Source organism: Homo sapiens, chromosome 11 (assembly GCF_000001405.40).
Source record: "Homo sapiens chromosome 11, GRCh38.p14 Primary Assembly".
Lineage (NCBI taxonomy): Eukaryota > Metazoa > Chordata > Mammalia > Primates > Hominidae > Homo > Homo sapiens.
Genome location: NC_000011.10, coordinates 110,226,511 through 110,252,909, shown reverse-complemented (window position 1 = coordinate 110,252,909; position 26,399 = coordinate 110,226,511). Strand labels below are relative to the sequence as shown.

The 26,399-nt window shown below is 36.2% G+C and overlaps 1 protein-coding gene across 20 annotated transcripts in view; it reads left to right on the top strand.

Moving 5' to 3' along the window:
* Window positions 1–26,399, top strand: part of RDX (radixin) — a 121,693-nt gene that overhangs the window by 43,705 nt on the left and 51,589 nt on the right. For 10 of the 20 annotated variants that reach the window (NM_001440513.1, NM_001440515.1, NM_001440516.1 and 7 more), the window contains 5 exons: window positions 5,077–5,207; window positions 15,258–15,418; window positions 16,719–16,811; window positions 19,431–19,673; window positions 20,877–23,469. In NM_001440513.1, coding sequence (NP_001427442.1) covers window positions 5,077–5,207; window positions 15,258–15,418; window positions 16,719–16,811; window positions 19,431–19,673; window positions 20,877–21,041 — 793 coding nt within the window. In that variant the 3' untranslated portion in view covers window positions 21,042–23,469. Of the gene's footprint in view, window positions 1–5,076; window positions 5,208–14,150; window positions 14,337–14,963; window positions 15,419–16,718; window positions 16,812–19,430; window positions 19,674–20,876; window positions 23,470–26,399 lie in introns of those variants that run through there. The other 10 variants (NM_001260493.2, NM_001440510.1, NM_001440505.1 and 7 more) reach the window with 4 other exon arrangements.

The window sequence follows — 26,399 nt, the reverse complement described above, 5'->3', positions numbered from 1 at the left end:
CTGTAGTCTCAGCTACTTGGGAGGCTGAGGCAGGAGGATTGCTTGAGTACAGGAGTTTGAAGACAATCAGGGCAACAGGCAACATGCAGTGTAGTAAAACCCTTTCTCTTAAAAATAAAAATAAAAAAAAGAGTAATGAGTTGGATTGTTACTTTGATGGGCTATGTCCTTTTTTATTGTGCTCATGTGCTGTAGCATTACATTGTGGTTCTAATCTTAAATGCTTTTTAAAAATACTCTTTATTGGGCTTTACTTTCTATACAGTACATTCTTATACACATAGCCTTGCATTTCCCTCTGTCAAAGGGAAGACTTCTTTTAGTTTCCACTTAATTTTTTTAAATCGTCTTAAAGATTTCACTGTCTCTTAAAGGTTTTCTAGCATGAGATAAATGAGGAATTATTTTATATACAGTTCCTGTATCTCATACTCATCACTCTATAGTATGCCTAACTGTTCTGCTCATTCATAATGTTGATATATTATTTACATTCTCAACTTACTATATTTATCTATATATCCTTTATTTCATGGCTTATAGAGAAATACTGTATTGCTTCTAGTACAGGTAGTATGTTTACTTAGTATCATTTGGTAATGGTGCTATATTTTAGTTACTCTAAGGCTTAGATGGAAGTGGAAGACTTAAGTTTCTTTTTTGGCACAATAATCCGTAGTTCTCCTGGATAAATGTTAGAGCTCTTCATTAGTAAGCATTTATTGACTGCTTTATACTCAGTTGGAATTCAGTAACTTTTATTCAGTTTGAATGCCTAGGAGATATATTATTCTAGTCACCTAGGAATTGGCAGTCTTTCAGAAATGGCATGCTGAGTCATTTATTCCCTGCTTTACAGGTCAGAGAGAGAGAAATGGCAGCTGTATGTGTGGAAACAATTTTGATTAAGCCCATTGGCAAAGTAGCCAGCAGATATACCTGGGAGAATGCCCAGAGGTATGCTGCCTGTGCTGCTAGACTCTCTTGGGCAAGAACAGTAGTTGGGAAAGAGTAGCAAAGAGACCTCTTTCCCTACAATACTTTGGTATATTTGGCTATATTTACTCCCTATAATTTTTATAACCTAGGGGTTTTTTGGCAATGAAAATGACCTTATACACTATGAGTGGTTATTCCATGTAGTTTTTGAAGCTCTTAAATTATTGGCATCCAAATTGAATTATGACTGATAATTTTTGCACGTTTTTGTATGGCTAAAATTGTTTCCACATGTGAAAACTGAAAGCCCCAAGTTTACAGTTTAGAGTTACATACCTATGTACCAATTGTAGGTTAGCTGTGGGAGATTCTGCACCAAGGCTGGCTAGTGTCATACAAAGAACACAGGCTTTGGAACTAGATAAATCTGGGCTTGACTCCTCTTCTAACACTCAATCGAACAGATAATTTTGAGCCTGTGTTTCCTTGCTCTTACTATGAAAATAATATTCTTACCTTCAAGCGTTTTTGTAAGAAATCATGACAGTGGTATACAGGCATTTAGCAAAGTACCCGGTACTTAATAAAAAATAGCCATTATAATAATTCCTAATATTATTATAAACTAAGTTGGATATGTTTTTAATATTCATGGAAGAAAAGTGTAATTAGACCCATTTGATCTTTAAAAAGTAAGATATTCTAAAGTAATTTTTTGCATATTAATACAAGGAATAATAGTTTATTAATGTGATTTATGTCCTTGAAATAGAACAACTGCATTGAAATGAGTGTTTTCAAACCCAAACTCCAAATAAAAATATCTGCATCTATTGTTACAGTAATCACAAAAGACTTCATGAGGAAAGTGGGACTGAAGCTTGAAGGTTAGAGAGAGCAAGAGATACGTTCAGAAGAAGAAGCCAACATAGATGAATATGTAGAGATAAAAATATGTGTGGTGTGCCTATGGGCCAGTGAGGTCCTCTAAAATGAACAGCATTTAGGGGAGCAGCAAGATCTGGTTTCATAAAGGAGACAAGACAGGCCTACAAAAACTAGATATCACTGAGTAATGTAAAGGGCTGAAGGCATTTGTATTATTTGAATGAAGTGTTGGCTGGAGATGGCTATTGTCAGGGTAGGATTCTTATAAAATGTGAGATACGAGCCTCACAGAGTACAGTAAACTACAACATGTTTTAAATATTATAATCAGTTTAAATATCTGCTGTATACTTATTCCATTTTTCAGTAGGAAGACCATTCCCCACCCCCTCCCAACTTGCATATGGCCAGATTATCTTGATTCTTTTTTTCTGCTTCCATATCTCCTTCACCTCCATCCCTGAAGAACAAATGAAACATCAATAGGGAAAAGCTAAATAAAACCAGCACATCCATCTGCAGAAAGGGCCATATATGCCAGAGCTGGGTCTGAAAGGCTCTTAGTTGGTGGAATATGATGGTAGACTTCTGGTTGAGATCTGGTTTGCAGTGTAAGTCCTCGAGAATTGTCTTGGGACCTTGGGAAAGGAGGGAGGGAGGTAGTTGGCTTGGGAACTGTGGCAGAACTGGATGTGATTGCATAGAGGCTGGGGAGTGATTGGGTAGTCTAATCAACATCCTAGGGTGGCAGACAACCTGGCATGGACAAGAATAGCTTTTGGCCTTACTAGCAATTACTTGAAAAGTACTGTGCTTTTGCTTCTTTTGCTTTCACACAAAGCGTGATGTTTCAGCTATCTAAAGAACACAGAAAGGTCAGCAGCCACTGTGGGGGCCACCAGGCCTTTCTTTTGCCCGGAGAGATTGGGAAACACAAACTTTCCCTTAAACTCACGTCTTCTAGAAGTGTGGAAGCTTGTATCTCCTTAAATCTCTCTGCCTGTATATGCTTTATAAATTGAAATAGGATAAAGAGAAAGAGGTGAATGTCCTGCAGAGTGAGCCCAAATACTGGGGTTAGGAATAGTTACTGGCTCTTCCTCCTTGCTGTTGCGAAAGTACCTCGTAGGCATAGGGAACTCCAGAACAGAGATGGAGCTTCCCTTACATGAATGACCACCAGGCCCTAGTTTTTTTGTTTTCTATTTGACAGGGTCTTGCTCAGTTGCCTGCCAGGCTGGGGCACAGTGGCACGATCATAGCTAACTGCAACATTGACCTCCTGGACACAAGTGATCCTCGCACCTTAGCCTCCTGAGTAACCAGGACTATGGGTACACACACCATGCCCGGCTAATTTTTTATTCTTATTTTTAGAAGAGATGAGGTCTCGCTATGTTGCCCTGGTCTTGGACTCCTAACCTCAGGTAGTCTTCCCGCCTTTGCCTCACAATGTGGTGAGCCACCATGCCCAGCCTCTCTAGATTATTAAATGGTGGAAGGATTCATTAAACCAGCAGCAAGGTGTGGTGACCCGTTATGTTTTAGCTTAGTGCATGCACTAGGAGGTCACCATCAGTGTTTGACCTCTTGCTGACTTGTGACACCTCTACCTGTTTGCCCCAAAGGTAAGCTCTCTTTCTGTTTTAGGGGCAAATGGGTATCTAGGAGCTGCAGGAATTTTAAAATGTAGGTTTATAAATAAGGGCGAAATTTTTGATAGCAAAACTTTTCTGATAAGTTTATCAGAGACTGCAAGTTGAGAAACTACAGGGTTTTGTGCTTGAAATTCAGAATTGACAGTAGGTGGCAGTGCTCTTTTTGTGGAACATTAAAGCATACTCAGATAAATTTCAGAGATGAAATCATAACTGATTTTTAAGTTATTAAAGTAGTGATTTGAATATTGATTCAACTTAAGTAAACAATATTGTCTGATAATAAGAGTTTCCCCATGTGACTTTTATTCCTCTTTATATTTTTGCCCCTAACATAGATTCTGACCCATGGTAGGCTCTTGGTAGATGTTTGGTGAATGAATTTGGCAGTATTTAAAAGAAACACTCTCATCAGGCCCATGGCAGGTGCAGCTAAATGATCAAGGCATTTTTTCCCACTGAGCTCTGATGATATTTTTTAAGATCATTAGCCACCTACTGTCATTCTAATGGAATTGTGAAGGGAGGTGAAATTGATTTGTTGTCTTGTATCTAGGCATAAATGGGTACTACCCAAGAAATTAAACTTGGATTAATTCATTTTTAATGATTGAAAATTGTTGCCCTCCCTTTTATTTAAGATACATGCCTTTGTTTGCTCCCTTCAGTCCTTTATTATTTCCCCAGTGGAGGTCTCCGGTTAATCTAAAGAAGATATTTTCTTGGGGCATGGCAACTGTGTGGTTAACTCTTTTGGTGCTGACATTTAATTTGTTGTCAGAGTTCATCCCGTATGCAAATGGTAAATCTGATTTTTCCCCCATTAAAGTGTGCCTTATAAGCATGTTCTATATGCAGGAATATATATTTGACAGTTATACTTTACTAGCAGTTTTGTAAACTCATCCTTTGAGGATGTTCCTAAATGTCTAAGTTTTTAATATTTTTTAAAAATAGTCTCAGTGGTCTTTATTGTGAACCCACAATAAGTAATACATTGGAACCCAGCACATGTATGTACGTACATGAGTGTATGTATGTCATAGTCCTGTACTTTTAACTACATATGCTATTTTGAACACAAGTGTAATACAATGAAAACCCTGTTAAAATATTTATGTTGTCATTTCTTCTTAGTTGATTCAGTTCTTAGGTTTCACATGAATACTATTTCCAATTATTATTATTTTATTTCAGTAGTTTTTGGAATATAGGTGGTTTTTGTTTACATGAATGGGTTCTATCATTGTGTATTCTGAGATTTTAGTGCACCTGTCACTCGAGCAATGTACACTATACCCAATATGTGGTCTTTTGTCCCTCACCCCATTCCCAACCATTGCTTCTCAAGTCACCAAAGTCGATTATATTACTCTGTCTTTGCATCCTCATAGCTTAGCTCCCACTTATAAGTGAGAACATATGGCATTTGTATGTTCTGAGTTACTTCACTTAGAATCATGGCCTCCAGCTTCATCCAAGTTGCTGCAAAAGACATTATTTTGTTACTTTTTATGGCAGAGTAGTATTCCATCACATGAATAATATTTTTGTGTATTAATTTGTAACAGCAATTGCAATTCCTTTTAAGGGCACAATTAGAGAATGAAAAGAAGAAAAGAGAAATAGCAGAAAAGGAAAAGGAAAGAATAGAACGTGAAAAGGAAGAGCTAATGGAACGTCTAAAACAAATTGAAGAGCAGACAATTAAAGCTCAGAAAGGTAAAAGTTTCTTTTTTGAAAATGGATTAAAAATTATTATTGCTCTGTTGTCAGATAGTGGTATTTTTTTTAGTACTCTTAAACCTTATTTGTTATATAGGACAATTGTATATTTAATTGGCAAATTAATACTTAGTGGAATCACATCATAAACATGTTTCACTAAGGCACATTCATTTATACAGTGCTGATGTTTCTCTTAAACATGCAGATATTTTTCTTTTTTTAGTTTTTTGTTTTAAACATGCAAATATTTTTCATATGTATTCTTAAATAATTGTAAATGTATATATGGGCTTTATAAACAAAAAACACATATGCAATACATTATGGCATTTAAAGAAAAGTATGCAATGCTTTATGGCTGTATAAGTAAGGCATTTAAGTAATTAAAGTAATTTAAGCTATTCTGACTATATGAACTTTTTTGGAACTCAATTCCTAAAAATATTTTACTTTATTCTACTAGAAAATACACAACACATAGACGTGTTATAACGTTTTTTGTTTGTTTTTGGTAATGTGTTTGGAAGAACTTACTTCTTAGGCAATATATAACCAAAGTGCTACTGTATATAGAAAGGATATACTAGATTTATAATATGTGGTTTATATTAAGTAACTTTAGGATATACCACTTTCACTCAGCGAATAGTGGAGAAAGCAAGAAAAAAAAAGTATTGCATCAATAAAATGTTTTTCTCCTCTCTAAGCAGCAGGCTCTCAGGGGTAACATGAAGTCTACACTCTTTATAAAAGCTCTATTTAATAATCTGCTTTCTTACAATTGGTAAAACAAGCTATTCAGTTCTGTTGGAAATAGCCAACACAGGTTGAATATCCCTTGTTGAAAATGCTTGGGAACAGAAATATTCCGATTTTGGGATGTTTGCATTGTCCTATTGAGCATTTCAAATCTGAAAATCCAAAATCGGAGCTTTTTTTTTTTTTTTGAGACACAGTCTTACTTTGTCATCTGTGCTGGAGTACAGTGGCATGATCTCAGCTCAAGCTATTCTCCTGCCTGAGCCTCCCAAGTAGCTGGGATTACAGGCGTACTCCACCAGGCCCAGCTAATTTTTGTATTTTTAGTAGAGAGAGGGTTTCGCCATGTTGGCCAGACTGGTCTTGACCTCCTGACTTCAAGTGATCCACCCGCGTCGGCCTCCTGAAGTGCTGGGATTACAGGCGTGAGCCACCATGCCCGGCCCTGGGCATTTTCTTTGAATGCCATGTTGGTGCTTAAAAAGTTTTGGATTTTGTAGCATTTCAGATTTCACGTTTTTTGGATTAGGGATACTCAGTCTTATTTAAGATATATTTTGATTTCTTACACCAGCCTGCTGTGGTGGAGACGTACTCTTGAGCAATGAGTAGAATAATTGTAAGGGAGAGTAGCTAGAGGGGAAAGCCACAAAGATTGCTATAAATGCGCAAGCTGATTGATCATTTCAATTCCAAGAGGATTAGAAATAATACTTCTAGGAGAATAAATAGCAATAACCTAGGCTGGGTGCGGTGGCTCATGCCTGTAATCCCAGCACTTTAGGAGGTTGAGGCAGGAGGATTGCTAAAATTCAGGAGTTTAAGGCTAGTCTGGGCAACATAGTGAGATCTTATCTCTCCGAAAAATAAAAGTGAGCTAGGTGTGGTGGCATATGCCTGTTGTATCAGCTACTCAGGAGGCTGAGAGGTGGGAGGATCACTCCAGCCTGAGCAACAGAGTGAGACCCTGTCTCAAAAAAAATGAAATATCTATATATATAGCACCAGACCTGCATTCAGTTACTGTCCCAGCAAATATCAAAGTGAATTCCATCTTCAAGAAGATAAACCACAGAAAAGAGTTGGTATAATGATTTCATTCATTTTGGATACACCTTGTGTGTACTAGGCACCTTTCTAGTAGTGAGATTATAGTACTGGACAAAAAGAGTTCCTATTCTCCTGGAGTTTACATTTTACTGGGGGAAGACAAAGCAATATATTAAATAATACAATTATTTTACATAGTTTTAAGTGCTACAAGGAAAGGAAACATGATAATGTTATGAAAGCAGTAGTTGTGGGTAGGAGGGGAGTGTCTAATTTAGATATATATTGTTTACAATTTTAAAAAGCTTTACTTCTGTCATTAACCTAGAATATGACTATAAGCAAGTCATTTTAACATCTTAATTTCCTTAGGATCCTAATTTCTAAAATGGAAATAATCCCTAATTTAGCATTCTGAGATTAAAAAGAAAATTTCTAGGTGGGTTCTTTTGGTGAGACAGGTTCTCACTCTGTTGCACAGGCTGGAGTGCAGTGGGTGTGATCAAGGTTTACTGTAGCCTCAAACTCCTGGGCTCAAGTGATTCTCCTGCATTTGGCCTCCCAAAGTGCTGGGATTATAGGCATGAGCCATTGCACCCAGCCTTATAGTTTTATTTTTTAAAAAACAAAAAATTTGGCCAGGCGTGGTGGCTCATGCCTGTAATCCCAGTACTTTGGGAGGCTGAGGCGGGCAGATCACTTGAAGTCAGGAGTTTAAGACCAGCCTGGCCAACACGGTGGAGTGTAAATCTCCACCAAAATTACAAAATTAGCAGGTGCCTGTAATCCCAGCTACTAGGGAGGCCGAGGCAGGAGAATCACTTGAACCCAAGAGGCAGAGTTGGCAGTGAGCCAAGACTGCACTACTGCGCTTCTGCCTGGATGACAGAGCGAGACTCTGTCTCAAAAAAAAAAAAAAAAAACTTTGAAGTACAGATACAGTAATATACGTATTTCTCAAGTATGAGGCTCAATTTTTACGAAGTGAATTTACTCCCATAAGTGCCCTGAACATGATAGACAAAATTATCTGCCCTCACACAGTCTCCTTTTCTCTTTTTCTTATAACTTCAAATGTGATTTCTGTCATTCTGACTTATACCATCATATAGAGATTAGTTTTGTTTATCATTTTCTAATAGCTTTGTTGAGATATAGCTTATAATTTACACACCATGTAATTACCCATTTGAAGTATACAGTTTAAGGGTTTTTAGTATATTCACAAAGTTGTACAGCTATCATCATAATAAATTTTAGAACATTTTCATTATCCCAAAAAGAAATCCCATACCCATTAGCGGTCACTCCCATTTCTTCTCAGTACCCCTTCTCTCTGCTGTAGACAACCACGAATCTTTCTCTAAAGTTTTGTCTGTTCTAGACCATCATATGAATGGAATCATGCAAAATGTGGTCTTTTGTGACTGGCTTCTTTTGTTTAACATAATATTCTAAAGTTTCGTTCATATTGTGGCATTTATCAGCACTCCACTCTCTTTTTTTTTTTTTTTTTTTTTTTTTGAGCCAGAATCTCACTCTGTTGCCCCAGGTTGGAGTGCAAATGGCGTGATCTTGGCTCACTGCAACCTTCGCCTCCCAGGTTCAGGCAATTCTTCTGTCTCAGCCTCCTGAGTAGCTGGGATTACAGGCGTCCACCACCACACCCAGCTAATTTTTATATTTTTAGTAGAGACGGGGTTTCGCCATGTTGGTCAGGCTGGTCTCAAACTCATTTTATGGATATGGTATATTTTATTTATTTGTTTGAAATCTGATGTTTTTTATTGTTTCCACTATTTGACTAAGGTGACTAATGCTGTTATGAACATTCATTGTGTAGGTTTTTGTTGTTCATATGTCCTCATTTCTTTTGGGTGTAACCTAAGGAGTGGAATTGCTGGGTCATGTGGTAACTGTATTTAACTTTTTGAGGAACTGCCACATTGGTTTCTAAAGTGACTGTACCATATTACCCTGCCACCAGCAAATTTGATTTCTCCACATTTCACCAATACTTGTTAATGTTTGTCTTTTGGATTATAGTCATCTTAATGGGTGTGAAGTGGTATTTTATAGTTTTTATTGCATATCTCTAATACCTGGTGACGTTGAGTGTCTTTCTATGTGCTTTTTGGACATTTATATTGCATGTATTTTTTTTTTTCCTGAGACAAGGTCTTGCTCAGTCACGCAGGCTGGAGTGCAGTGGCATGATCGCGGTTCACTGCAGCCTCAGTCTCTGAGCTTCAAGCGATTCTCATACCTCAGCCTTCTGAGTAGCTGGGATTACAGATGTGCACCACCACGCTCGGCTAATTTTTATATTTTTAGTAGAGACAGGGTTATATACTTGTTGGCCAGGCTGGTCTCCAACTCCTGGCCTCAAGTGATCTGCCTGCCTTGGCCTCCCAAATTGCTGGATTACAGGCCTGAGCCACTGTGCCCAGACATGGATCAGTTTTTATTCCTGTTACTAGTGTTTGAAAGTACATTTGCTCTATGTCCTTATCACTTCTTCCACTAGTTTTTATTGTTAGGGTTTGGTTTTGTTAGCCATTCTGGTGAGTATATAGTGAATATACAGGTTGAGTATCCCTTATCTTAAATACTTGGGGACCACAGTGTTTTAGATTTCAGGATTTTGGTTTTTGGTTTTTTTCTTTTTTTAAAATTTTGGAATATTTGCATTATACTTACTGGTTGAGCATCCCTCATTCAAAATTCCAAAATCTGAAATGCTGTCAGTAAGCATTCCCCTTGAGTGTCATGCAAATGCTCAAAAAATTTAGGATTTTGGAGTAATTTGGAGTTCAGATTTTTGGATTAGGATACTCTGTCTGTAGTTTATTTTCTTGATTACCAGTGATGATAAATATTTCATGCTTTACAGACCACATGGTCTCTGTCCCAGCTATTCAGCTCTGCTATTGCAGTGTGAAAGCAGCTGTGTACTATAATACCTAAACAAATGAGGGTGGCTATGTTCCAGTAAAACTTAATTTACCAAAAAAAAAAAAAAGCATTGGATTGGGTTTGCTCCATGAGCCATAGTTTGCTAACTCCTGTATTAACTCAGTTAATTGGAGAGGAAACAGCAGAAACCATTTATGGGCTATATGACTGTTAAAAAGCTTCCTTTTTTAGGAGGGACTGGAGTAGACCTGATGTTTTCAGAATTCATTTTAAACATTTTTTAAAACTTACACTTTTATACAATTCTTAATATATCACAAAATAGCTATTGCCTTATCTGTCATTTTTCAAATTGACCTTTATTACAAAAAGCTGATAAAATGAATATTGGGGAATGTTTCAAAATTTAACTTTGTAACCCAGACTTATTTCTCTTTTTTGTCTCATAATACAGAAACAATTTTTATTATGAGAGAAAATAAAGCATTGAGGTTTTTGGCTTTTTTTTTTTTTAATTTTTTTTTTTTTAAATTTTTTGAGACAAAGTCTTGCTCTTGTCCCCTAGGCTGGAGTGCGATTGTGCAATCTCGGGTCACTGCAACCTCTGCCTCCCGGGTTCAAGCGATTCTCCTGCCTAATTACAGGTGGCTGCCACCATGTCTGGCTAATTTTGGTATTTTTATTAGAAACGAGGTTTCACCATGTTGGCCAGCCTGATCTCAAACTCCTGACCTCATGTGATCCGCCCGCCTAGGCTTCCCAAAGTGCTGGGATTACAGGCATGAGCCACCGTGCCCGGCCAGTTTTTTGCCGTTTTAAGTAATGTAGTTCACTGATGCAAAATATATTGGGAATGTTGTGCAGCCATCACCACTATCCAGCTACATAATTATTTTCATCTTGTAAAACTAAAACTCTGCACCCATTAAACAATCCCCATTTCCCCCCTCCCCACAACCCCTGGCAACCATCATTCTACTTTTTGTCTTTGTGATTTTGAGTATTCTACCTGTATAAGTGGTATCATACAGTATTTGTCTTTTTGTGACTGGCTTATTTCACTTAACATAATGCCCTCAAGGTTCATCCACGTTGTAGCATATGTCAGAATTGCCTTCCTTTAAGGCTGAATGATATTCTATTTGTATACCACATTTTGCTTATCTGTTGATGGGCACTCAGGTTGCTTTTGTGTTTTAGTTATTGTGAATAATACTGTTATGAACATGGATATTCAGGTATTGGTTTGAGACCCTACTTTCAATTCTTTAGTTATTTGTTTGCTTGTTTAGATGGAAGATAAAACCATGAGCTTTGTGGGTGTTGTTTTATATATCAGTCAATCAGATGAAAAGAATTAATTATTAAAGTTTGAGGCTGGGTGCAATAGCTCACACCTGTAATCCCAGCACTTTGGGAGGCCAAGGCGGGTGGATCACCTGAGGTCGGGAGTTCGAGACCAGCCTGGCAAACCTTGTGAAACCCCATCTCTACTAAAAATAAAAAAATTAGCTGGGTGTGGTGACACACGTCTGTAATCCCAGCTACTCCGGAGGCTGAGGCAGGAGAATTGCTTAAACCCAGGAGGCAGAGGTTGCAGTGAGCTGAGATCGTGCCACTGCACTCCAGCCTGGGCAACAGAGTGAGACTCCATCTCAAATAAAAAAAAGAAAAAGAAAGAAAGAAAAGTTTGATAGGCCAGCTTGATTATCTGAATTTTAGAAGGCAGATTCTAAAATGAGTAATCGTAGAATATCGCTATGGTAACATCCAGTGCCGTATACATTTTGTCTTTATAGCCAAATAGCCACATAGAATTTTTATATTATTTATTTTTTATTGAGGTAAAATATACACATATAATACAGAATGTACACATCTTTGCCCCCCCGCCCCTTTTTTTTTTTTTTTTTTTGGAGACAGAGTCTCACTCTGTCGCCCAGGCTGGAGTGCAGTGGTGTGATCTCGGCTCACTGCAACCTCCGCCTCCTGGGTTTAAGTGATTCTCCTGCCTCAGCCTCCTGAGTAGCTGAGGTTACAGGCGCCCGCCACCACACCCAGCTAATTTTTTGTATTTTTAGTAGATATGCAGTTTTGCCATGTTGGCCAGGCTGGTCTCGAACTCCTGACCTGAGGTGATCTGCCCACCTCGGCCTCCCAAAAGTGCTGGGAGTACAGGCATGAACCACCGTGCCTGGCCATTTTTACCGTTTTTTTTTTTTTTTTTGAGACGGAGTCTTGCTCTGTCGCCCAGGCTGGAGTGCAGTGGCGCCATCTCGGCTCACTGCAAGCTCCGCCTCCCGGGTTCACGCCATTCTCCTGCCTCAGCCTCCCGAGTAGCTGGGACTACAGGCGCCCGCTACCACGCCCGGCTAATTTTTTTTGTATTTTTAGTAGAGACGGGGTTTCACCGTGTTAGCCAGGATGGTCTCGATCTCCTGACCTCGTGATCCGCCCGCCTCGGCCTCCCAAAGTGCTGGGATTACAGGCGTGAGCCACCGCGCCCGGCCTATTTTTACCGTTTTTAAGTATACAGTTCAGTAGTAATAAATACATTTCTATTCTTTTTCTCCTCCCTTCAACTCCCCCCACCCACTTCCTGGCCTTTGATAACCACCAGTTTATTTATCTTTATGAGATTTAGCTCTGACATATGAGTGAAAACATGCAATAGTTGTCTTTCTGTGCTTGGTTTATTTCACTTAACGTGATGGCTTCCAGTTCCATCCATATTGCTGCAAATGACAGGATTTCATTTATTTTTATGGCTGAATAATATTCCATAGTGTATGTATACCACATTTTCTTTAAGCACTTAGGTTGACTTCATGTTTTGGCCATTGTGAATAGTGCTGCAATAAACGTAGGAGTACAACTATCTCCAATATATTGATTTCCTTTGTTTTGGATATTGCTGGATATTGCTGGATACTATTGCTGGATATTGCTGGATACTATGTTTTGGATATTGCTGGATACTATGGTAATTCCGTAGTTTTAGTTTTTTGAGGACTCTATATTGTTCTACATAGCGGCCTTACTAATTTGCATTCCCACCAACAGTGTATGAGTGTTCCTTTTCTCTACATCCCCGCCAGCATCTGTTACTGCCTTTTTTTTTTTTTTTTTTAAAAACAGAGTCTTCCTCTATCACCCAGGCAACCTCCACCTCCCGGGTTCAAGTGATTCTTAGCCTCTGCCACCCAAGTAACTGGGATTACATGTGCCACCATGCCCAGCTAATTTTTGTAAATCCCAAAGTCCTGGGATTTACAGGCGTGAGCCACCTTGCCCAGCCTTGCCTGTCTTTTTGATACAAGCCATTTTGACTGGGGTGAGATGATATCTCATTGTGGTTTTGATTTATATTTCTGTGATTATAGTGATGAACATTTTTTTCATATAGCTTTTGGCCATTTGTACGTCTTTTGAGAAATGTCAGTTCAGATGTTTTGCCCATTTGTAAACGAGATTATTTGGTTTTCTGCTATCGAGTTTGAGCTCTTTATATATTCTGGTTTTTCGTCCTTTTTTAGATAGACAGTTTGTAGACACTTTCTTCTATTCTTTGTTTATCTCTTCACTTTGTTGGTTGTTTCTTTTGCTGTATAGAGCTTTTTAGCTTGATGTAACACCCATTATCTCTCTTTGCCTGTGCCTTTGAGGTCTTACACAAAAAATCTTTGCCTAGACCAATGTCCTTCTTTCACTTCTTTGGTTAGATTGATTCCTAGGTGTTTTACTTTTTTTTTTTGGCTATGGTAAATGGAATTGCTTTCTTGGTTTCTTTTTCAGATTGTTTACTGTTGTTATATATAAATAGCTACTGATTTTTTTTTTTAATTTTAGTTTTTAAGAAGAGATGATGTCTCACTCTGTTGACCAGACTGGTCTCAAACTCCTGGCCTCAAGCGGTCTTCCCACCTTTCCCTTCGAAAGTGCTGGGATTACAGGCGTGAGCCTAACCAAAGCCTAACCAAAGAGTCATTCTTCTCCAACCCTCTCAAAACCTTCCAAGTGTTTTTTTTGTTTTTTTTTTTTTTTTTTGAGACAGAGTCTTGCTCCGTCGCCCAGGCTGGAGTGCAGTGGTGCAATCTTGGCTCACTGCAGCCTCCGCCTCCTGGGTTCAAGAGATTCTTCTGCCTCAGCCTCCCCAAGTAGCTGAGATTACAGGCGCCCATCACCATGCCTGGCTAATTTTTGTATTTTTAGTAGAGTCGGGATTTCACCAGGTTGGCCAGTCTGGTCTCAAACTCCTGACCTCAAATGATCCACCCACCTCAGTCACCCAAAGTGCTGGGATTACAGGCATGAGCCACAACACCTGGCCTAAAACCTTCCAAGTCTTAACTGCAATTACTCAACTAGTTCTGATCAAGACCAAGAAAATTAAGAACAGTAAGTAAAAGCTTGTAAGTTACAGTTAGCTTTCAAATTTCATGACATATAGATTTTCTTAGTATACAGTAAGGGAAAATAATTCTTTGTAGGACCTTGTACTGTCTTACTAGGTGGCATTCTATTGTCTTCTGTCACAGGGCTTAAATAATTGTCAAAATAATATTTAAAGTTAGTACTGTTAAACTCTCTTAAAAATTTATTTTCCTTTCCTGTTCAACTCATTGGAATAAGAAAAGAGTTGATTTAGTGATCTATGCACCTAAGGATTAAAATTCATGTTATTTATCTCCCAATATTGCTTATCTTCATGCTTTAGGAATGAATATATACCAATAACTCACATTTTTCAATAATTCATATAATCACATCAAAATTCCTATTTTGGGGTCAGTAAATACTGTTTTCAATCTTAATTTCTTGGATTTACTTATTAGTTTAGATAAGTAAAACCTTAATGGAAGTTTTGAAATGTATTATAGATTTCTGAAACATGGCAATTTGTTTACTGAGGTCAAAACTTCAGATGGAGAGATTATTTTTTAAAAATAAAATAGTTACGTGCTTGTAGCCTTTTTACATAACTTGAATTGCAGAAGATTTTCATTTCTCTTTAAAAATTATTAGGCTTTTGCCAAGTTGGAAACGAGGTATAGCGCCTGTAGTCCTAGCTACTTGGGAGGCTGAGGCGGGAGGATTGCTCGAGCCCATGAGTTCGAGGCTGCAGTGAGCTTCTGCACTTCAGCCTGGGCAACAGAGCGAGACCCTGTCTCAAGAAAACAAAGAGGTATATATGTATTTACATGTGTGCTAACTTTTAGAAATTGAACAGATTTGATTTCTTGCTACTATTTTAGCTTCTTTTGATAATGAGAATGATTGGAATTAATCACTGTTGGGGGGAATACACATATTTCATAGAACTAGAAGAACAGACTCGAAAAGCTCTAGAACTGGATCAAGAACGAAAACGAGCAAAAGAAGAAGCAGAACGACTTGAAAAGGAGCGTCGAGCTGCTGAAGAGGCAAAGTCTGCCATAGCAAAACAAGCTGCCGACCAGATGAAGAATCAGGAGCAGCTAGTAAGGAACTGTCTTCTTAGAGAAAAAAGTTTAAATAAAAGCATAGAGTGAACCCTCTAAAAAAGAAAAAAAGAAAAGCAACCATTTTGTGCTTTCTGGAGAGCAAGCCAAAGATAACATGTAACTTAATAACAAAATGTAGACAAAAACCTAGAAAATTTATTTCTGCCTAAACAAAAACCTAAAAATACAAAAGAATAAGGCATTTTTCTATAGATTATTTGTAAATGGAGTCTACTGTCAGCAAAAGGTTCTGATTCACTTTGACATTGGACAGGTTCGGTAATAAGTCAGTTGGCGTCTTTTGCTTTAGATAAATTAATATGTTATAGTTATATAATATAGATATATGTTATAGTTATATAATATATTATAGATATATAATATGTTATAGTTCCTATGAGGCCATAATTGGTTGGGTTTTTTTATTTAGTGGACTTGCAAATAATTAGATGTAAGCGTGTCACTTAAAAGATCCTGGATTTAAATATTAGTTCACACATGTACTTGCTATGTATGTGTCTTTGGGTCTTTCTGAGCCTCAGTTCCCTCCCTTTGAAAAGAGGAATGATGGCCGGGCACAGTGGCTCACGCCTGTAATCCCAGCATTTTGGGAGGCCGAGGCAGGTGGATCACCTGAGGTCAGGAGTTCAAGACCACCCTGACCAACATGGCGAAACCCTGTCTCTACTAAAAATACAAAATTAGCCAGGCACAGTGGTGCACGCCTGTAATCCCAGCTACTCGGGAGGCTGAAGCAGGAGTATTGCTTGAACCTGGCAGGCGGAGGTTGCGGTGAGCTGAGATTGTGCCACTGGGCTCCAGCCTGGGTGACAGAACGAGACTCTGTCTGAAAAAAAAAAAAGGAGGAATGATACTACCTGTTAATGATACTACCTGTTAGGATTATTGGGGTATTAAATGAGATGATTTGACAAAGTGCCATTTAAAGTATATAGCATTAGATAAATATTTTATCTTTTGTGGACTTTAACAAATAGTTTATTGATGGAAATTTTTTAAAAAAGCTTTTAAGTTACACATTTTAAGTTCCTGCTACTGAAAGCAGGATTAACTAGTCTGTAGAATAATAGTAATTTTTTAATTTTGTCTCCTTAGCTCATTACCTAAAGGACTTATTGTAAATAAGCTATTTAAGATCTTAAGAAATACTGTATTTTTTTAAATGGAAGGCTAAGAAAAACATAAACAGCCTAAGCATGTGCATTAAAACTTTGTTGACTTATAAGATTATTCAAAATATGTTATTTTAATTTTGGAATTATATTGTTTACTTTAGGCAGCAGAACTTGCTGAATTCACTGCCAAGATTGCACTTCTAGAGGAAGCCAAGAAGAAAAAGGAAGAGGAAGCTACTGAGTGGCAACACAAAGTAATCATTTATTCATTTACTAGCTTTTATTGAATAGCTTTTATACCCAGGATTATGCTGACTTTGTAGTGATAAGTGTAAGATACTGTCATAATTTAGAGTGGGAAAGATACTCGTGTTATGTGTATTGTAAATATCTATCTACAGATATAAACCAAGTACTTTGGGAACACAGAAGAGGTGATTAATTTCTGGGGGACCAGAGAGTTGTCGGGAGACCCATATACATTTAAGCTGGGTCTTGAATAATGAATTAAATTTTGGGGGTACAAAAGATTGGGATGTAAAATTGGGAATAGTTAGAGACTGAAGAAGTAGTCATTCTAGACAGAGGGAACTGAATGAGTATAGGAAGTATGAATGTATATAATAGATTTGAGGATAACCAATAAGCAGCCGAGGCTTAGTGTTGTTCAGAAATGTTAGGAGATGTGGCCCTCAAGTTTGATAATAGGGAATTGTGAAAGGCTTTAAATAAATGCTCTGCTACAGCAAGGCAGTGGGAGTATCGATTGACTTGGGGCTTAGAAGATTTCAAAACAGGATTGTAACATGATCAGATATGATTTTATAAAAACCATGTAGTGATCAGTGTGAAGAAAGGATTGGGATAGTGGATACTTAAGAGATAAAGACCCAAACTGAGGATGTGAAAATGAGAATAAAGAGGAATGGGAAGATATAAGAGACATTTTGTGGTCACAAAAAGGCATGGGAACCAGTGATTGGATATGAAGTTGAATTATTTTTATTTTTTTAGAGACATGGTCTTACTCTGTGTCCCAGGCTGGAGTGCAGTGGCACAATCATAATTCATTGCAGCTTTGAACTCCTGGGCTCAAGGGATCCTCCCACCTCAGCCTCTGCAGTAGCCGAGACTACAGGCATGCACCATCATTTTTATTTTTGTTGAGAATGGAGGTCTTGCTGTGTAACCCAGGTTGGTCTTGAACTGCTGGCCTCAAGCAGCCCTCCCATCTCAGCCCCCAAAGTGCTGGGATTGTAGGTGTAAGCCACTGTGTGCAGCTGACACCGAGATTTCTAATATGAGTCCTAAGTAGATGAAACCACTGTTGTCTAAAGTAGCACACAATTGTAAAATCAGGCTTTGGTTGGAGAGTGGGGGAATATAAGATAATGAGAGTTTAATTCAAACAACATTAACTCTTAACTGAAAAGATAATTTTTTTACCCCCAAAGATGATATTTAGTTTTAGAAGATGATTTTTCTACAATAAAATGTACTTATACAGAAAACAGTTTTCTTGCACTCTTAAGTAAATCTTTGTAGCAGTTTAAATTTCATTGGGTAATTTTATATGTATTGAAAATTAGTTATATATAAATAAAACTACAAAAGGAATGCTACTGTTAATTTCCCAGTTACTCTACTTGTTTATTAGAATTTTTTAGATCCCTTTTAGGGATGATTTATGAAATTTAGAGACACATAAACTTTAAAAAATTAGCATATTACAGATATCAAGTCTGTGAATTATAGAAAATTAGAAAATGCACACAAAAGACAATTGTATTCCCATAAACTAGGGGAAATACTGCAAAACCTTAGTACATATTCTTCCAGGATACTTCCTGTTTATATATTCAACATGAAATCTTACTGTATGTACTATTTCATTTTAGTCAATTTTCATCTCAGAATATTAGACTATATTAAGAATTTCCCAAAAAGTCTCATAGCTAATTTGCCAGACAAGTGTTCAGAGGACTTTGCATTGTCTGTATTTGCTGTAAGTCTCTTTTAATGGAGGGCAGTTTCTCTTTTTATTATTTTGATTTATTGAAGGGACCTACAGAATGTCTCACCTCCTATATTTGTTTAGTTACTTCCTTGTGTCATTGACCTTATCCTTTAACTCCAGTATTTCCTTTGAACCAGAAGTTAGATCTAGAACCTGGGGAATTCAAATTAAATGTTTTGACTACAGTGCATCAAAGGTGAGACTTCCATATAATTGAACATCTAAACTGGAGTACTTTTGAGAAAAAGGGGGTATTGTTCATAATTACACCAGGACAACAGTGTAACAGGACTTTTCCAGGTAAACCAAGATAATATGATCACCCAAATAATTGGTGATGTTAGATATTTCAGGTTGTATCATATCAGAAGACACTTAATATCTAGTTAACTCACCATTAGTATTTTTTAGTGATCATTGGATTTGAGTAACGACAGTCTCATTCCTCCGTTATTCGGTTACATTTTCCCCTTGTGGCTCAAATAAAATCTATTGGGTGTGAGATTCTTAGGCATTATATGAATATCTATTTCTCATCAACTATTTGCACAACAGTTTTAGCAAACAATTGATAATCCTTGCCAGAATTAATAGTTCTTTTTTTGCATGTATGCTTGTTTTTCTTTTAATCTGTCACTTTGAAGCTCACAGAGTAATTCTAATAGGGTTTGCATAATAATGTTTTTGATTTTCTCTTTTACCTGTTGACATTCTTTTATGAAAATAGAGGTTTCATAAATAGGGCCTATTTTCATTACCTTGAAATACAGTTTCTATTAAAAAGGGAGTATAACTTGATTGTTTTGATTATTAATTTTTGAAGTAAGTTGCTCATAAACGTATTTTTAATGTTCAGGCTTTTGCAGCCCAGGAAGACTTGGAAAAGACCAAAGAAGAGTTAAAAACTGTGATGTCTGCCCCCCCTCCACCTCCACCACCACCAGTCATTCCTCCAACAGAAAACGAACATGATGAACACGATGAGAATAATGCTGAAGCTAGTGCTGAATTATCAAATGAAGGGGTAATGAACCATAGAAGCGAGGAAGAACGTGTAACCGAAACACAGAAAAATGAGCGTGTTAAGAAGCAACTTCAGGTATTTAAAATTTGCAGTTGTATGTGCATTTGAAATATAGTTTGCATTTTCCCCATCTTAGACAAACTTAGTTAAAAAGAATATAGAAGTTTTAATACTGGCTGCCCTTGTGATTGGTTTGTGGGTGTTTGGCCTATAGTCATGTTATTTCATTTCTTCCGTTGTGTGAACCCATTAGCAAATACCTGTTAGCTTTGTATAATCAGACCTTAACTAGTGAGTTATTTAATTACAGCTTGACCCATTTTAAAAGGTAGAAAGTATTCTAATGTCATGTTGAAAAACGTGAATTTAGTTTTTGATCAGTAATATGTACATTGAGGGCCAGGCGCAGTGGCTCACACCTGTAATCCCAGCACTCTGGGAGGCCGAGGCAGGTGGACTGCCTGAGGCCAGGAGTTCAAGACCAGCCTGGCCAACATGGTGAAACTCTGCCTCTACCAAAAATACAAAAATTAGCCGGGTATGGTGGTATGAGCCTGTAATCCCAGTTACTTGGGAGGCTGAGGTATTGCTTGAACCTGGGAGGTGGAGGTTGCAGTGAGCCGAGATCATGCCACTGCACTTCAGCCTGGACAATAGTAAGTGACTCTGTCTCAAAAAAATAAAATAAAATAAAATGTACATTGGAAAGAATGATAGTTAATATACTATGTTTAAGACATTACATAATCTTAATTATTTGTTGAGATTTTATATTGGCAAAAGGTCAGTATATTACATGGACATAACTAGGTCAAAGTAGAGGATTTTAATATTATGAGCTTTCTTTTTTCCCAATAAGTTATCTAATATTTTAATTGTTAAAATCTTTAAATATTAAAAGAAAATGAGGTGATAGTTACAATAAATGTATTAAGACTTTTGGAGAAGGCTTCCCTTGAGGTATAGATTTTAAATCTCATAGTAATATTAGTCTGTAATGGCTACATTGAACTTTTTAGCCATTTCAAGTATTAGATTAGAAAGTTAAGGAAATTTAGAATAATGTACAAAATACCATGGTTGATAAATGTGGAAAGGCCATGTGTATTCCTCCCTTACCACTGCCACCACTATTACTAAAACAAACTTATACCTAAAGAAAAAGGTTTCACAGTGGAAATGATTTGGTATATGTATTTTTGCATCTTAAAGCCATTTTCATAAATTTTTTTAAATCTAAGAAAAAAATAATAGTTGTACTTTTTATTTTTTAAATAGGCATTAAGTTCAGAATTAGCCCAAGCCAGAGATGAAACCAAGAAAACACAAAATGATGTTCTTCATGCTGAGAATGTTAAAGCAGGCCGTGATAAGTACAAGACTCTGCGACAGATTCGACAAGGCAATACAAAGCAGCGTATCGATGAGTTTGAAGCAATGTGAGAGCTGTTATTTTGCATATATGTTCTTCATAAGCTGAACCACCAACAGAGAAAAGCAGGCCTTTGCAGATATGATGGAATGCATCCCACCTTGCCAAAGCACTTACACCAGTTTGACTGTGCTAGCTAAAAGACAAATTTAAGGGGAGCTCTTCAACATTAAGGCAGTATGATATCATGCTTGGTTTTCTTTTTTCTTTTGGTCCAGGGAATGGAGAATGGTGTTCCATTGCCTCTTTTCACATTTTTTTTCTTTTTCTTTTTTTTTTCTGTTGAAGATTAACACTAATTATCACGTCTGACAAATGTGTATGTGTGGTTTCAGTTCTGTGTACATTTTAAAGGATAATGGTGAACATTTTAATGGGTTTCCCTTGCCCTTTCCATATTTAACCTATTTCCACATTCTCTCTCACTCACATTTTCTCAGTGTGCCCTTCTCTTATCTGCCATGTCCATAGCCATAATTCCACCATCATACAGATCAGGCAGTGTTTAAAATGATGGTAGGTAGCACAGTGGACAGTCTTTGATCATCATGTAGAATATGGCTATGAATCAGGAAAGAGATTAGAACATTTAATAATGTATGTACAGCTGGTGCTTAGTTTTTTTTTAATCTAAATTTAATTACCTTATTGGATATTTGATATTTGGTTATTTAATCACAGTCATCTTTAACAGCTTACACTGATTGGTGTTTTATCTCCTGTGATCCTTTGATGGCTTTTTTTGCCTACCATTTCACAGAGGTTTAGACAGCAGTAGTAGCTCCCTAGGAGAGTTTACTGATGAAACAGCCTCTGCAAGATTTTAAAAGTTTTGTTCTTTTATAGACTGATTTAGAAAAACAAATGATTAGTTAAAAAAAGAAAATATACATTTGTTGGTAACTAATGTTATTTTTTAAAACCTGGACCTTTTCTGGAAGGGCAGCATATAAAAACATCAGTCCCGAGGAGGGGACAACAATACTACCTCACTACTACATCTGTGATGACTGGTTGTTCAAACACAATGGAGTGTGTAAGGTATATGTTTTATAATTCATAACCATAGCCTCGATCATCAAGAAATACTTTCGAAATTTCATTTTCCTTCAGAATATCTTAAGAGTGCTAAATTTTTAACTGCCTTTTTGTCGAGTCAAACTGTGGGATTCTGATTTGTATTAAAATTGTAAGCTCCTCACTGGTATACTATCATCCTGGAGGGGTGTTGTATGGCTGAGCAAGAGAGAGAGAGAATGAGAGAGAGACTGTGTGTGTGTGTGTGTGTGTGTGTGTGTGTACTCTGTGTGTGTATGAGAGAGAGAAATGCTAACCTTGTAGCATGTGAAGAATGTCTGTACCTTGATACGATAGTTACATAATCAGTATATTTGGTTTCTAGATCACTGTGCTTATTTTGTTTCAATCTCTGACTAAAAATACTTAAATTTGGTTTGTTAATTCTTATTTTAGAAATTATAATTTTAGTTTATATTAATTTCGGTTATAGCTTACTGAAGAAATCTTTCCAGTTAGAAGGAGGTTCTAATATTCACATGTTCTAATACTTTGTTTATTGTAAAACAGCTAAATTTGGAGATACGTAAAGCCTTGTTTTCTCTGTGTGGTTCAGCTACTTTCCATTTGGTATTACACAGTCAAATTTACATTTATCTATTAAAATTGCCATTTTATTAAACATTTTCATGCACAGTAGATTCAAGTTGTGTCTGAAAATATCTCTTGTGCTTTTTTGATTTTGCTGACTTTAAAAGGATTAATCTGGGCAGACATTATGTAAAAGAAAGGTTGCGTTTAATATATTTTTTGAACTTTGTAGGACAAAACATAGCTGGTTAACCTTGAAGTGACTGTTGTACCATGGTTGTGCACATGCTTCAGAATCCTATGGAAGAGAATATTCCTACTTGCAGTACATCAAAGGAATGGATGGTGGACCCTACTATTCATGTTTTGAGACATAAATGTTCACTTTAAAGCAATTGCATAATAGATAAAAACCTGAACTTTCATTGGATTTTTGTTAATTTTCCTCATTTTGAATTATGTGCACTACCATAGCTACATCAGTTTGATACAGTATTGAAAAATTATCAGTTATATTTTGCTGTTTATGATCTATTTGTAGATTAGGATTAAAATGGATTTAATCCATTTTTAAGGCTGTGTGAATTTTTCTAAACAAGAACCATTTGCAATATGGATTTCTTAGAGATTAAACCAATTATAACTTATTAGCAGTCGCGAGCACATGTTCATATAGTCAATGTAAAAATACACTAATGAGTATTTGGTAAATCCCAGTAGGCTTTTACCATTAGCATAATTTTGTGTTGTACAATTAAGTTACAATTACATCTCTAATTTTGGATAATATTCATTGGTTAACAATAAAGTGACAAAAGCTCATGCCTTCAAGGTCCACTGTTGTTATTTAACATGGATTTTTTGTATGTTTCTTGAAAATTACAATCTTTATCACAGCCATGAATCACCACAACTTAAAAGTAAGAAGTAGATAGGAAATAATTTTAAATCCTCATAGATCTACTCTTTCCCCGATACCTCTTTGGTATGGAAGTAATAGTGATTAATTCTGTGGAAAAGTTAAATTATTAAATTAAATTGACTTTGTTGACAACAAAACGTAATTTAGGGTTTCCAGTCATTGCCTTTATTGTATAGTGGTTAGTTTCTTTTTCCTGAGGAAGATACAGTTTCTTGTCATTGATTGATCTCACTATTAACATTTCAACATTCTTTAAAGAACTGTATGCTAAGTATATTTATGTAAGTACATGTTCTTATTTTGAAGCTGTATTATAGAACAGTTACTATAAATCTAGAAATTGCCTTTTTCAAGTCTTCTTACTAATTTTTAACTTAAATAAGTGATAAATCTATAAAAATAGTAAAAGCTAGATTTTTTTGTTGATAGTAATATTTAACTGTCACTTTATTATTTCTGTTCTCAAGGACACATAGTGATTTTTTTACTCTGATCCTGTCAGAAAATGGAATTTTAAATAATATTTTGCTTTATGTCTAATTAGAGTTTTAAGAACTGGAATGGCCCCTTATAAAGTTATGTTAGATTTTATTGGAAGTCACTCTTATCATTAGAAGTGTTTCAATATTATTGTGTTTTTTTTTAAAATCCCACTGTATTCTGTCCCAGTATTGATCACCGTGTTGATTATTAATGTTTTTAGAAATGAAAATAATTTTTTAAATTCACAGGCATCCCATTTTACATATGCACAATAAAAACAATTAGTCTTAAAAGTTAAAGCTGGAAACTAAAGTCTAAGGGATTACTAACTTTAGCATTAACATACTGAACTAATGAGTAAACCAAAGCTTAGATACCATTAGTAAGAATAAGAGAAAACAGTTCAGTGTGGAGCTGTACTGTTAGGTTCCTCTCTTAAGTCTGTTCTAAATGAACAGAACTTTAGCATTTTCTTAGTTTGTACCACTTCCATTTTTTTAACCTATCAAATATTCTAATGTGGTCTGTCAGATGGAATGACAGTATTCTAGCTCATACAAAAGCTCTTTGGATTCTGCAAATGTGTTTGATAACTTTATGAAATATTCAGGCAGCCTGACCCCCCACAGTCTACGGTAGTAACTAGGAAAAGCTGGCTCACAATCATGTTCCATATGTTAAAGATTAACACATTCTTATCCTTAGCTTTTCCAGTTAAATAATTTTAACTCCCAATTTTTCCTTAGTAGACCTACTTCTTACTATGTCCATGTATCAAGATATAAGAACTACCATTTTCTCTGTGGAAAGATCATGGCTGTATGGTTCAGCTACTTTCCATTTGGGTAGTAGACACTCAGATTTACATTTATCTGTTAAAATTGCCATTTATTTCATCAATACTTTGATTTCCCTTAACCTCTGTGATACAAGAGTTTTCTGATTTGGGGTTATATGGACTACTTTAGGAGTTGAAGTATTTCCTACACAATTTTTACATGAAAGATCTTGACTAAGGTGATACCCCATGACACATCCTTTGCATTCAGGTTTATGTTTTGGCTGTGGAGATCCCTAACTACTTGATGGCTCCGGGTTCTTATTTAATGGTCGTCATTTAGCCAATACATTTTTATTAAGAGCTGGCTATATTCAAGGACTTAGAAGCAAGATTAGGATGATTGTGACCCTTTGTTTTGGCCTATATAGGGGACTTCAAATATTAACTTATCTTAGCCTTAGATCATTTGCATTTATCTATTACAATATCATTTCTTTTAAAATGGCAATGCCATATTGTTGATTCCTGTTATTTGTATGCCCAGATTCCTCCATGTTTGTAGCTAGCTAGTTGCTTCTATCAGTGCAACTTATTTTTACCACCCTATTCTAATTGTTCTTCACTTTTATTTAATCATTATTTTAAATATTTGGATTCATTTTTATATTTATGCATGCCATTTAGTTTGCTCCTAAAAATAGTGATACTGGTTTTAGTTTTTTACTTACTAAATCAGTATAGCCAAATGTCCATCTTCCTAGTGGTAATATGCGATCAGAATTTCTGAGATTATTTATGTGACTATTTTTGGAAAAGTTTCTTTTGATAAAACATGGATTTATTATATGAAATTCTTCTTGCACTGTATTACAATATATGCTATGATATCCCTTTTATTTTTTTCAACTTAAATATGATGTTTTATATTGTTTTAGACTTACGAATCGTGTTTTTCAGAATCATAAGGGAATATCTATCTCCTCCCTCACTTTCCTTTTATATATATTGAAAAGTCTATGAAATTCAAGTCTAGCATTTGAATTCTCTATGCTATCATTGCATTTACCTAATTATTTACTTTTAAATTTTAGCTATTTTCATAAAAACAGTTTTGAGATGAAGGAAACTTACACAATAAAAGGAAGATCAATAAGCAGGAAAATTAGTAACTGACAGGGAATATGAATGAATACTCAGTATACGTTTCGGTATGCTTGTTTTCTGATAAATTACTTAATTTTCATTTCATAGGCCAAATTTTAAACACCAGTTAATAAAGTTATCCTAAAAGAGTCTCTAATTTGAAAAGTTTTTCTAACCTAGGAAGACTCATTTTAGACCCAACTGACCAGTCAAATATGAGTAATTTATAATATCTGTATTAAATATTGAGAAGATTAATAAAGTTAAAAGTTTACAGTTGAATCTTTTTTTATCATGGTAAAATATACATAAAATTGATCATTTTAACCATTTTTTAAGTGTACAGTTCAGTGCCATTAAGTACATTCACATTGTTGTGTAACCATCACCACCATCCATCTCCAGGATGTTCTCATCTTCCCGGACTGAAGC